This window comes from Homo sapiens, chromosome 2 (assembly GCF_000001405.40).
Source record: "Homo sapiens chromosome 2, GRCh38.p14 Primary Assembly".
NCBI classification, from domain to species: Eukaryota; Metazoa; Chordata; class Mammalia; order Primates; family Hominidae; genus Homo; species Homo sapiens.
The window spans coordinates 172,799,141-172,813,266 of NC_000002.12; the positions used below are offsets into that span (position 1 = coordinate 172,799,141).

The 14,126-nt window shown below is 42.9% G+C and overlaps 1 protein-coding gene across 21 annotated transcripts in view, besides 1 other annotated feature; it reads left to right on the forward strand.

Annotated features, from left to right (window-relative positions):
- RAPGEF4 (Rap guanine nucleotide exchange factor 4) overlaps positions 1-14,126 on the forward strand; it is a 317,576-nt gene that overhangs the window by 63,823 nt on the left and 239,627 nt on the right. The window lies entirely within an intron of this gene.
- Positions 4,224-4,414: a silencer, noted in NCBI's record as "fragment chr2:173668092-173668282 (GRCh37/hg19 assembly coordinates)". NCBI's record gives its function as "represses an EF-1alpha promoter that drives an FKBP-Casp9 reporter gene in an ReSE screen in HepG2 liver carcinoma cells {active_cell/tissue: HepG2}" and the evidence as "EXISTENCE:reporter gene assay evidence [ECO:0000049][PMID:32094911]".

Sequence of the window (14,126 nt, forward strand, 5' to 3'; positions counted from 1 at the left end):
TATGTGATTTATCCAGTCCTTCTTGGATATTTACTTGGCAGTGTTCCAAGCACTTAACAGGTATTTATTTACTTCTTTAATCCTCAAGTCAACCATGAGGTAGGTCGTATTACTGTTCTCATTTTACAGATGAGAAAACGAAGTCCCCGAGTGGTTAAATAACTTACCTCGAGTATTGTATCTAGAAATTAGAGAAACCAAGATTAAAACCCAAGCAGTCAGGCACCTGAACAGATGCTCTTCACCACTGCTCTCCACCATTTGACTCTTAAGAAACATGAGGCAACATGCAACTTCCCTCTCTCCCTGCCTTTTGTCATCCTTTCAGATTACCCCATGTCCTTCTTTCTGCATATCTCCTACCTGTGGATGCTGTCCTGGTGGGGACTCTCTGGGCTTTTTTGCTCAGAGCTGCTCCTGGTACTTCCTTTCCCCAGGTTTTACCTGCATAGATGTTCCCTGGGGACAGGGCCTACACAGGATCATTCTGCTCAGTTCCTCCTGCAGCTCGAGTGGTTCCTGAATGAGTGATAATGGAGAGAGTGGAGAAGCTGAAAAGAGAAATGTGACAAAAGAGAGGAAAGGGAAGCAAGATGAGAATTAAGGAGGAGAAAAGAAAGAAGAGGAAATCTCGAGAAGGAGAGAGAAGGAGAATCAGAAAAGGAAGAGCAGATGTGCCTAAGGGGATGATACATAACACCAGCTCTTATGTGCTGACACACCAGATGTGAAAGCTGGCCGAGATTTTGATGGTATTAAAATAGTATCTGGCCAGGGGTTTCGGGAATATTGCCCTTAACCAGTTATCTCTCACCATGGCATCCTAGCCATGCTATAATAACCCATAATAGCAGGGTTATTAGCTACAGATTCAACAATTTTAACTAAACTTTTAATTTTAGATTTACCTATAATTTTGACCTCAAAACCAATGCAGAGAACTTACCTAAGCTGGGCTCGGTCTTCTTTTAGTTGTTAGGAATGAGTTAATTTAATACCAAAGCTGGCTTACTGCTTCCTTTATGTATTTCATCCCACAATGTTCAACCAGAGTTTTCTGGATGGATTTGTATCACTAAAATAAAAGGAAGAGAAAGCTCATTGACTCCTACACCCTCTAGCCCTCTAGAGTACAGCCTGAGATAAACAGGGCCCAGCTTTCCAGCCAGTTCTGAAGGTAGGACATGGTCCAGCCACATGGGAGAAAGAAGCTAAGGAGAATGACCAAGATGGCAGAGCCCCCTTCCATGCCAAGATGCTTGCAAGGGAGAAACAAAACTGCCATATCTACCCATGCTGGCCTTGTGATGGGCTCTGGGTCTCTGCCCACTAACAATGTGGTAAATCAGGGGGATTGTTTATCATGACAGAGTAGTGCCCCATACAAGTCAGGGTTCTTCAGAGAAACAGAATCACTAAGAGATAGAGATAGAGAGAGAGAGAGACAGGTTTGTTTTTAGGAACTGGCTCACATGATTGTGGGGGCTGGCAGGTCTGAAGTCTAGAGCTGGCAGGCTGGAGATTCAGGTAAGAGTTATTGGCAGAAGCAGAATTCCTCAAGAAACCTCAAGGGAAACCTATTTGCTCTGAGGCCTTCAAGTGAGTAGACGAGGTACACGCACATCATGGAGGGTAATCAACTTTAAGGTCTACTGATTGTAAAGGTTAATCATATCTAAAAAATATCCTTACAGCAACATCTAGATTAGTATTTAACCAAACTACTGGCCATTATAGTCTAGCCAAGTTGACACATACAATTAACCATAATAGACCCCAATGAGGAGGGAAATGGGGTTGGGTGAAGGCCATGGGTAAGGAGCAAGGAGAGACCTAGAATTCCTACCCCTAGAGACCAGAAAAGATCATTGCTAAGTGCCTTCCTTGTGTGGCTCGTGTGAGGGGTTCCATGGACATTAACTGAATTAATCTTTAGGCATTTGTGTCCTGTTTTACCAAAGGCTTGAAAACAAGGCTCAGTGACATAGGTGCAGCTTTCCCAGGGCCACACAGGTGTACATGGGCAAACTGAGATTTGAATTCAGGTCTGACATCCTCCAAATTGCATGTTCTTCTGCTGGGCGCACTCATGAACAGAGGTGTGAGGAGGATGATAAAAGTGAAGGAGGAAAAGTTACACAGTCTAAAAGAAAACTGAGGAAAGAGAAAAGAGGTGATGGCACAGAGTCAAGTCTTTCAGGGAGGATGGGGCAGAGTTTCTTGCCAGCCTGCTCCTTGCTGCCCTGCATGTCTGCTTTCTCATCTGAGAGCCAGAGGGATGTAGTGACAAATTCCCAAACTTAGCACTAGGTTTCAGACCCTCAGTGGGGTGTGAGCCAGGATGGTGGAAGAAGAGCGGGAGTGGCTGCTGGCAATGGGCGCCTATGACAGGAGGCTATGTGCCCAGTGTGTCACAAGCATTATCCCACCAGCACTCACCACACTGCCCTCCCCTTAGTGCTGTGGTTTGTCTCATTTTAGAGGCTAGATATTCAACAGCTTGCCCAAGGTCATAAAGCTGCTGGGTATCTGGGCCAGTTCTTTGTGATTCTGGGGCTCAATGCTTGCCCATTGTGGTTGTATAGGTGCCAACCAGAAGGACCGGAAGGGGAAGGAAGAGAGGTGGGGAGCTGAGCCAGCCATTAAGGAATAAGGAATGCAGGGAGGAGCTTTCCCCTTGCAGCTTCTCCAACTCCCACCTGGGTGTCTGATGCAGCTCTGAGCCCCACAGCCCTCCCCTCTAAGCCCACTGCCCAGGTGCTGTTGGAGGCAATCCTCCTCCTACCCTCTCTTTGATCTGGCGATGCACAGTGAAAGGGGTGTGGCCCTCCCTCCAAAGGGCATCTGGATTAGAGGGTGGGGTAGATAAGTGTAGGTGATAGGGAGGGAAAGTGAAGTACACTGTGTACAAGATGGAGACAAAATGGTTAGAACTGACGGTGATGGGATGTGGAGGTGTAGAGAGAAAGGGAGGCTCCTGACTTGGGTGAAGAGGTGGACAGTGATGCTACTAATGGAAATGGGAATACATGAGGGAGACCACCTTTCCCAGATTCTGCAATAGTATTTTATGCTATACATTTATTAGGTATGTATATTAGTCCATTTTCATGCTGCTCAGAAAGACATACCTGAGACTGGGCAATTTACAAAAGAAATGAGTTTATTGGACTTATAGTTCCACATGGCTAGAGAGACCTCACAATCATGGCAGAAGGCAAGGATGAGCAAGTCACATCTTACATGGATGGCAGCAGGCAAAGAGAGCTTGTGCAGGGAAAATCCCATCTTTAAAACGGTCAGATCTTGTGAGATTCATTCACTATCAGAGAACAGTACAGGAAAGACCCACCCCCATAATTCAATTACCTTCCACCAGGTTCTTCCTGCAACACATGGGAATTGTGGGAGTTATAATTCAAGGTGAGATTTAGGTGAGGACACAGCCAAACCATATAATTCCATCCCTGGCCACTACCAAATCTCATGTCCTCACATTTCAAAACCAATCATGCCTTCCTAACAGTCTCCCAAAGTCTTAATTCATTTCAGCATCAACTCAAAAGTCCACAGTCCAATGTCTTATCTGAGACAAGGCAAGTCCCTTCTGCCTATGAGCATGTAAAATTAAAAGCAACTTAGTTATTTCCTAGATACAATGGGGGTACAGGCATTGGTTAAATACAGCCATTCCAAATGGGAGAAATTGGCCAAAACAAAGGCTACAGGCCCCATGCAAGTCTGAAATCCAGCAGGGCAGTCAAATCTTAAAGCTCCAAAATGATCTCCTTTGACTCTATGTCTCATATTCAGGTCATGCTGACGCAAGAGGTGGAAGGCGTGTTCCCATCGTCTTGGGCAGCTTGGTCCCTATGGCTTTGCAGAGTATAGCCTCCCTTCTGGTTGCTTTCATGGGCTGGCATTGAGTGTATGCAGCTTTTCCAGGTGCATGGTGCAAGCTATTGGTGGATCTACCATTCTGGTATCTGGAGGATACCAGCTGTTTTCACAGCTCCACTAGGGGTTCCCCAGTAGGGACTCTGTGTGGGGGCTCTGACCCCACATTTCCCTTCCGCACTGCCCTAGCAGACGTTCTCCATGAAAGCCCTGCAGCAAACTTCTGCCTGGACATCCATGCATTTCCATACATCCTCTGAAATCTAGGCAGAGGTTCCCAAACCTCAATTCTTGACTTCTGTACATCTGCAGGCTCAACACCACATGGAAGCTGCCAAGGCTTGGGGCTTGCACCCTCTGAAGCCATGGCCCGAGCTGTACCATGGCCCCTTTTGGTCATGGCTGGAGTGGCTAGGATGCAGGGCACCAAGTTCCTAGGCTGCACATAGCACCAGTACCCTGGGCTTGGCCCATGAAACCATTTTTTCCTCCTAGGCCTCTGGGCCTGTGATGGGAGGGGCCACCATGAAGATCTCTGACATGTCCTAGAGACATTTTCCCCATTGTCTTGGGGAGTACATTTGGCTCCCTGTTACTTATGCAAATTTCTGTAGCTGGCTTGAATTTCTTCTCAGAAAATGGGATTTTATTTTCTATCACATTGTCAGGCTGCAAATTTTCCAAACTTTTATGCTCTGCCTCCCTTATAAAACTGAATGCCTTTAACGGCACCCAAGTCACCTCTTGAATGCTTTGCTGCATAGAAATTTCTTCTGCCAGAAACCCTAAATCATCTCTCTCAAGTTCAAAGTTCCACAAATCTCTAGGGTAGGGATAAAACGCCACCAGTGTCTTTGCTAAAACATAACAAGAGCCACCTTTGCTCCAGTTCCCAACAAGTTCCTCATCTCCATCTGAGACTATCATGAGAACAGTGCAGAAAAGACCTGCCCCCATAATTCAATTTCCTTCCACCAGTTCCTCCCATGACATGTGGGAATTGTGGGAGTTACAATTCAAGATGAGATTTGGGTGGGGACACAGCCAAACTGTATCAGTATGAGTGATTTGATGGAATTTTTTCTGAAAAAAAAAATCAACCTCTTTCTTGCATATGGTGGTAGAAAGATATATCTGTATATAAATTTCAAGAATACATGGGGTGTAACTATTCTATTTGACTCAAATTCATATTGCCTTCCTGTTTCAAGTTAATATTACTTTTTCTCCCTTCTTGTCATTCCCTTATATTTTTTACTGTCTAGGTTAAAAAACACACAGCTTCTTCTGTGTAATTGGTCTAGCAAATTCTTCCTGAATTTTTTGAATACTGGGTTGAGGGTCCTACTTATTTTTCATCAGCAATATACCCAGAGCATGTAGTAGTAACTGTTCATTTACAGAGCATTTCAGGAACTTTCTTTGGTTTGAGCCTACCCTGTTTGGGAAACAGCTATGCTGTTTCTTGCTTAGTGCCTGATGCCTGAGTAGCTGTTCAGGATGACGCAGTGGTGAGCCTGGGAACGGGGAGTACCTGGCCTCCTGAGCCCATCCAGCATTCTGCCTCTGCTCTCCTGTGCTTTAGGCAGTGCGTGCAGTCATTCCCTGGGGAATCTGCAAAGCCTGCAAGGCATCTGCTCCCAAGGGCACCTGCTCACAAGCTCCTCCAGTGTCCGTAGTGGGGTGGAGAGGGGTGATGGGGATCCTTTTTTGCCCCTGGATTGCTGAAGCCTAAAATTATATATTAAAAAAAGTCATGATTCTACATTTCAGAGAAGTATTAACTACAGACATTTCGATGAGTGCTGATGTACACTTCAGGCCCTCTCTTAGGAAGGGAGGATGGAGAAAAAAGCTATCGGGCTGCAGGACTGGAATGGCTCACCTTCCAGTGTCACCCCTGGTCAGCCCACCCACCAGAATGGCCAGAAGTTGGCCATTGTAGGAGGCGTGAGTTGCAGGCTGACTGGGCCTTACCCCATGGGTCTTCTCTGGGCCCAGGAAGCATCAGATAGTGGCATGGATTCCTGCTGAGCAGGGGAACCCACTGCTTTCCCCTCTCACAGTCAGGCCCTTTCCAGGCAGGCCCCAGGACCACATGTTGCTTCTTCTCTTTGTTTTCCTCTCAGTCAAGTTTCCCTAATTCAAGGCTTCAAGAGACTGGAGGGGAGACAATGGTCCCTGGACGGGAGGGACGGTGGACTCTGTCTGCCTCTCGGAGACCCTCCCTTAGGAGCTGGGGCTGCATTGCTTTCATTTCTTTTGTTACTGCCTTGAAAACGTGTTTGTCCTAAGAATTGTAGGAAATGCATAGATTATTCTGCCCCTATTACTTTCAGGAACTTTTAAAGGCTGACAAATCCTTGTAATTATCTTTCTATAAATTATATTTATTTCACTACTCTATAAAATGAAACCTACTGCAACACTCTTACCACTATGCGTAATTATCAGAGGCATCTCTCCCAGCTTCTCAGACACCCTTCCTGCCTTAGCCATTCTTCATCTTAACCCAAGGAAAAGAGCACCAAGAAGGGGACCTGCCCACAGACCACTTCATCCTCCTAAGGTGTCCCAACCTGGCTGACATGTTCACGTAGATTTCCACTGGGAACATCCACTTGGCCTCTATCAAGGATTAATCCTTCCATTTCGCCAATAATATCTGTCCCCACCTTCAGTCTCTTGCCTGAGCCTAACCAGGACACATCCACCTCCAGATCCCCACTGCTGTACTTGTCTGCACAAGATCCTCTCCTGTCTTGGTGCCTGTGTAACTTAAAAGTTACATAGGGCTAAAAGTCAGATATTTTGCCTTCCCACTAGAATGAATAATACTATGGGTGTATTTTTTCTCAGTAATATTTTAATCGATTTAGGGTTAGAGATGAACATTGGGACAAGTTATAAGCAATAAATAACAAGCTTAAAAACAATAAATAGGATTATAAATCTCATTGTATCAGATATTATCCGGCTGTGTGTGTGTGTGTGTGTGTGTGTGTGTGTGTGTGTGTGTGTGTTTACTTCAGAGACAGAGAGAAAGGGAGAGAGAAGGTCCTGTTTTTCTCTGCAGATTTTTTAAGTGAGGGGCTTTTTTGGCATAGTAAGTATCAAAATCCTAGATATATATAAGATTTTAAATTAATCTTTACCTCTCAAAAAGTAAAAAGGCTTTTCCAGTCATAGGAAAGAAGAATTTCAAATGGCTGCTGACAGAATAAAGTTTATATTGCAAGATAGAAAATGGATGGTTTATTAATTCTTTAAAACCTTTACATCTCTATCACAGATGCCTATTGAAAGCATTAGTATTTACCCAATGCAACCCACGGTGGTTAAATTCAGAGCTCCTTTGAAATTCTATTGCCACTTAATTGGCTGTGGGTATGCACAGTTAGCTTACTTGTAAATTGGGGATAATAGCTCTTATCTTAAATGAGCTGATGTATGTAAAGCACTTAGTACAAAGCCTGGGATAGAGGCAGAGGGTCTGTGCTTTTTGAAATTACCATTTCAAGAAAAGTTGGTTGCAATGACTGCAATGCTGTTGTTTTATCACAAGAGGGCAGTGCCAGAATAGAAAACGCAGGAAATGTACTTGGGATTTGAAACAGTAGAAGTTTAACAATGTTGTTCAGCCATTTCATGGATCAGAGAATCCGGGCTACACTTGGCCTTGGTCATCACTTAATTTCATCCCCTCATCTATCACTGTGAAATTATCTGGCACATTTTAGCTCAATTTCAGAAAAAAATCTCATACTAGTTTTCTCCCTAAAGTAAAATAATATGCTTTTATTTGCCTTCTCTTTTTTCCTTCTACAGTAACAAATGTTTTTAAGCATTGCATTTTTGTTTACAAAATTTGAAGAACATGTGTGTTTCGTTGTAATGCGGATCTCTCTACCTTTGTCTGTCTTTCTCTTTGCCTCTCTGATTCTTCTATTCACTCATTTCACTCCGTTATTTTCAAACAGAGAACACTGCCATCATTGGAAACATTTTTTTTCTGAGCACATTTATTGAGCCCATAAAACGTGAAAGGTGCCAAGTCCACAGCAGTTGTTTGTAATCTCCTCCTACTTGTCTATGCTCAGGTCAGGCTATTTGTTAGGAGCTGATTGGGAGTTTATTGAGCATCCTGCATCCTGCATTTAGTTTTTTTGCCGTGTAATTCTTTGTTTGGGTGGTTGGATGCAAAACTGCGTCACAATGCTGGACAGACTGGCTCTCCACTGAAATGAGGCTGGCCTCCCTGATTCAGTTACCAGAATGCTAATGCTAGTCCATTCTCATCAAACCTTCCTGCGGCCGGCTTGCCTGATCTTGTTAAGCTTTATTGAACATGCTGATTCCAGGGATGTGTTCTAAAAGTAACAGACCTTGTCTTTGCTGTTTGTTAGAAAACACATTTGCCTGAGAAGTATTTTGCCCTCTTGATTTGGCAGGAAATGCTTCTGCAGCACATACAATCTAACATCTTGACAAATTAAGAGATTGGGTTCCATTTAATTTTATTACTTAAGATGACTTGGAGCACCCAGTAAATTCCAGCACTAAATTCAAGTTCGTGAAATAATCCCAGGTGCTGTGAAACTTAATGGCAAATATTGCCTGTAGGCCTAAAATAAAACTTATAAAAATATTTGCCTTGTTAGAATTTATGTTCACACCTGTGAATAGCCACTGCAGTCCAGCCTGGGCAACATAGCAAGACCTCATCTCTAAGAAAGAAAAAAATATGTTTCTGTCTCCACACATTTAAAGGAGCAATTATTTTTCCCTTGGTGTTAACTCAGTATATGTCCAAAACAATAAATTTGCCATGAGACAATGAACTCTTCTTGAGCCATGAATATGGAAGTGAGTTAAATGTGCATAATAAGATGATCTGATAGCCCTTGAAATTACAGTACAATTTTTAGAAAATCTAGATGTACTTACCACAGAGAATTCTTATGTCTGTTTAATTGATTGTTAGCTATTTTAAATTCCATCAGAATACCTATAACTTGTGTAAGTTGGATTTCAGCTGATGCTTATAGACATTATTTATTTGCAAGGCACAAGTGCCTTAGCTTGAATACCAGTCTTAGTTATATGACACATAACCATTGGCTTTCTTAACACCATTCCCATTTCCATACTGTTTACTATATTTACAATGAAACAAATAAAACGCCTCATATGAGAATGTCTGCTTTAAGAAAACCCAGTGTACATAACTCAGACGTACAAAGCAGATAAATTAAGAGGTGATTAGTTGCAGTACAAAAGGATTCTTTGATTTACAGCACGGTTTGTCAGAAGGGTTCCTTTGAATACGAGCTCCCCCAGAGAGCTGAAGTGTTTTGCAGATCATTCAATCCACTTGACATCCAGACTAGGGGACAGAAAAACTTGGAATTTAAGTGTTGAAAGCCATCATTAGTTGAAGATTAACAAAATGAATATAGAGATTCTCTATTATTTAAATGATAGAAAAAAACTGCTTTGCTTTTTAGAAATATGGATAACCCATACATGTTTGTGACTAAGTCAGAAATAATAATTTCCATTATTTATGGATCACCTGTTATGTGCCAGAAACTATACAGCACTATAATGGACTCTGTGTATTACTTTATTTTGATTTAATACTGCTAATGATATTACAAGTAAGATTGTGCCCATTTTACAAATGAAGATACTGAGGCTCTGGGGAGCATTTTGCCCAAAGCCCACAGGTCAGTCATTGGCAGAGATAAGTTTTGAATTAAGTCTACCAAGGCCCGTGGCTTTTCCACTCTGCTGCTTCCAGGGGATTTTCCCTGCTGAGCATTGAGTGTTCTGACCATGGGTAGCCTCCACGTGGGAGTCCTTTGCCTGATGCCCTGCCTTCCAGCATGGGCGGCTTCATCGACATCTTTATTAACTTACCTAATGCCAGCTTTTATGAATGAAGTTAACTGGACCCTGCATATCCCACTGAAAACACTGTGCCAAGACAGTGCTCATGACTTAACTTCAGCTGGTGCCTGGCTGGGTAAAGGAAAAGAACCTGGAATCTGGGGGGCATCCATGATGGAGGTGGGAAATATCTCGAGGGCATGTTCAGGCAGCACTGGGCAGGAGGGGCAGAGGAAGCAGGAAGGTGGTGTGACACAGCCCCCAGGTTAGTGTGGGGAGGGGCCAAGGCTGGTCTAACCAGGGGTAGCATGATGAGACTTGGCCTGCTGATGGGAGGGAGTCAAAAGCAGGCCCAGTGGTGGAGATGGGCAGTGGGCAGGCTGCCTAAGAAGTCTGGCCACAGAAGGACTGCCAGAGAGGAACTGGGACCCAGGAAGGGCTGTCAAGACAGGATACTGTCACTTTGAGAAGAATTAGGGTACCCAGCAGGTTATCAAGGCAGAGACTCTGAAAGACAGAAACTCAGTTTCTCCAACCAGGGTCAGAACTCAGTTATTAGAACTGGGACACAGGATCAGAGTGGGAAAAGCAGAAATGCCGATTTTATTTTATTTTTTTAGAGACAGAGTCTTGCTGTGACTCCCAGGCTGGAGTGCAATGGTGGGATCATAGCCTACTGTAACTTTGAGCTCCTGGAATTAAGGGATCCTCCTGCCTCACCCTCTTGAGTAGCTGGGACCATAGGCAAACACCAATATGCCTGGCTAATTTTTAATTTATTTTTTAGAGATGGGGGTCTCACTATGTTGCCCAGGCTGGTCTTAAATTCCTGGCTTCAAGCAAGCCCCTCACCTCCCCTCCACCAAGTGCTGGTATAACAGGAATGAGTGATTCAATTCAATTCTTAATTACCTGTTTGTGATTGTTTAAATTTCCCCTAATGAATAAGAGGATTGCCTGGGATGGATTTGATCCTCTAAGGAGGATCAAGTGGATCTCAATATTGGAATTGGAAGATTAGAAGAGGAGCAATGCCAAATGTTTTATATTTTCCTAGTGATTTTGACTTATTTGGTATTCAATAAATACACAGATTGGCTGACTGAAATAAGAATCAATATAAATTAAATTGGTACCTTAACAGATTTTCCAACTGAACCTTGGCTAAGAGGTACTTATACTTACTAGGACAATCTAAGAAGTATGTGGGTAGATCATTAGACTGACTAGTTTCTGATCTCAGCTCTTCTACTTACTAGCCATCGTCTTGGGCAAGTCACTGAATATCCTTGAGCCTGATTTGCTCAACCTATAAAATAGCAATAGTACTACTGATATTGCTGGATCATGTTAGTAAGAGTGTCTGCAATTTATTAAGCATTTGTTTTGAGTCAGGCACTATGCAAAGCAGTTTAAATACATTATCTCATTCACCTGTTGTGAGGAATAAATGAGGCATCGTCATTGAGACACTTGGCCAGTGTGTGGCCCAGTTCCCACTCACACACATGCAGATCAACATGCATGCTGCTGCACAATGGGACTAAGGATGGGTGGATAATTAAGTAAGGAGGTCTGTGTTTTAGAAGGAGGAGAAGGAGTGATCCAGTGGACTGAGAAATGAGATAGCTGGATCAGATTGGAGGAAAAAGCCAGATGGCGTGTCGGTGATATGCCAGAGGCGATTTTGTGTGTGTGTTCCCATCAGCCCTTGTTATCTAGCAGAATTGATCTCAGGTAACCCAGTATGTTTTCCTAACAGAATGAAGTCTTCCCATGTGTCACCCAAAACATACTGCCCTTACAGTGTGTCTGATGCAAGTGGTAAGTGACACTCTGGCCTCTGTCCTTATTACAGAAGTCTCTTTGGGAATGCTGGTTTGGTCCAGTACCTCCCCAGAGGTCTCAGTGCAATTTAGGACCCACGGCCATCTTGGCTCACCCACCTCCTTGTTTTCGGTTTCCCCAGAAGCAGACCTGGAGAAAAGGATTTGGCTACAAGTGGTTTTTTAGAGATGATCTTGGGAAATATGATAACAGAATGGGAAAATTAGACAAAGAAGGAAGGAAAGCCTATCAAAGTGTTCTAGTAAGAGCATTTCCACTGTAGGCAACTGGACTCACTCCTTCAGGGGGCCTGCTAAGAAACTGTGAAGGGCAAGGAAGCTGGGGTGTTTATCTTCCCACTCTCATGTCCTACCACTGTCATGGCAATGGTTGCCCCTTTAAGGCATTAACTGCCTAGCACTCTGCCCTCAGGCAGAGCAAGGGTGCAGATGCTCGAGGTGGCACACTGCACAGAGCCATCCAGAAAGCTACAGATGACATCAGGGGTGAGTGCAGAATCTGGCAGGGCTCCAGCAGCATCTGCTAAACCACCATCACATATTGAAGTCGGGTTTTTAAATCTTTACTTCCCTTTTGAAAGTTCTCAAAACAAAGTGCAATCTTATCACAAAATAGGACATTCCTTCACTGTTACCATTTCATGTTCCCTGCATAGGTGCTGATTGCTTTCATCAGTCTCTGTGTTACTGTAAACATCTTCTTTCAGATGGCCTCGCTGAATATTAATCTGCAAATGAGCAGAAAATTAATAAAAGTGCTCTTTTGAATAGTCCCTATTAAATAAGTATTGAGGCATGAGCAGTATGTATAAGCGTAAAAGAAACGGTTATGTTACATCCAGAAACAGACACTTTCAGCAGCAGGCGAAGGCAGGCATTAAGCCCATCTACAGGGTTTCAGACTTGGAATCCTGACCCATGGAGATCTGGTTAGATGTTAGTGTGGATATCTAAGAGTGCTTCTTCTACATCCACTCATATTCATCCTGTCCATTCTTAATCTACCTTTCATCATACGTGCTGAGCAACATATATTAGTTCTGCTAAGTGAGAGAACATTTGGATGTCAATTTCTTTATTTGAAAATTACTCTCGCAGCACATTGCAAGGCCCTGCCTGTGATTTAAATGTAAATAAGGGCTAGCACCCATAGACTGTAAAGATAGTGAATAGTCTTCAGGGTGAAAATGTTCTTCTTGGCACCTTCTATTTCTCTGTGCCCAATTATCCCAATGCCCAACCATACCTCCCAAATTCATTCAGATTTCTAAGTATATTTGTCCTAAAAAATACTCTGAATCTGCTGAAAGTTTGAACTTGCAAACCATACTCCTTTCAGGTGAGGTTTTCCAGTCCTACTTTTAAGATCATATCTTGTAATTTGTGACTCCTTGTCCTTAAATTTGAGTGGACGCAGTGTGAAAGAGAAGATCTGGAAAGGACTGATCCCATACTTAATTCTGGTAGAAGAATTGATTCCTGAAACAAGCCCAGGGTGCTTGAGCTGATGACTGCAGCTGGGTACTCACTGGCATGGTTTTCCCCTTACAGAGGTGGTCCTGACACAGAAATACACCAAGGAGTACAGTCGGCAGCACTACCGTGATGAAATTTTGTTGTATGTGATAAAGGCATGAGTCAGGTTGAAATCTCCTGGGAAAATCCAAGAAGAAATCCAATCTTGTGTCTTTATTACAAGAGTTGATTATTGGCGAAAGACAGGCTCACGTGTGTCTCCCAGCCTCTGTATTTCCTTGTGTACTGTTTGGTGACAAACTACTCGTGTCAGGGATGGGAGGTGATAAAGAAGACTGATTAATCCATAAACTGTACAGCTAGCTCAGGAATAACTGAGAGCATCCTAGTTCTTTTGCATTATACTTCGCAAATAACCATATATATGTAAAATATGTGGATGATGTCAGTGGTATTACTTAGGGTCCATTTCAGGTTTTTAAGACATGCTGGAAAGTAAAAATTAGGCAAAAGAATTCTTTCCGAAGGGTTCAGGTGATAGAAAAATGAAATAGGCTAGTGGGAACTTCAGGGAACCTGCTATTCCAGAGAATTGTGAAAGTCTGTGATTTATCATAATCTATCTTGTGTTTTTACTAGCATTTAAAAATTGCTCAGAGAGACCTAACTCATTGACTATTGATATTTCAGTTCTGGGGATATTTTTGAGTGAATTTGTTTGCAGTTGCCTTTCTGCAAAATTTATTAGCAGGCTTTTCTTCACTTCTTCCCTGATCTTTTATTCTTTTCTGAGATATTGATTTTATTTTCCCTAACATAATTTTATATGGTAATATCTGTGCAGAAGCAATTTGCTATGGTTGAAGGAACTGGATTCTTATGGGCATTTGTCTTAGTAATGTGATTACAGAGTCACTAACTTGATCTTAATAACATTTGCCTATTATCGTATATTAGATGCATGAAAGGAAAACTGGGCTTTCTAACTCAGAGGATTACCCTTGTGTGTCTCCC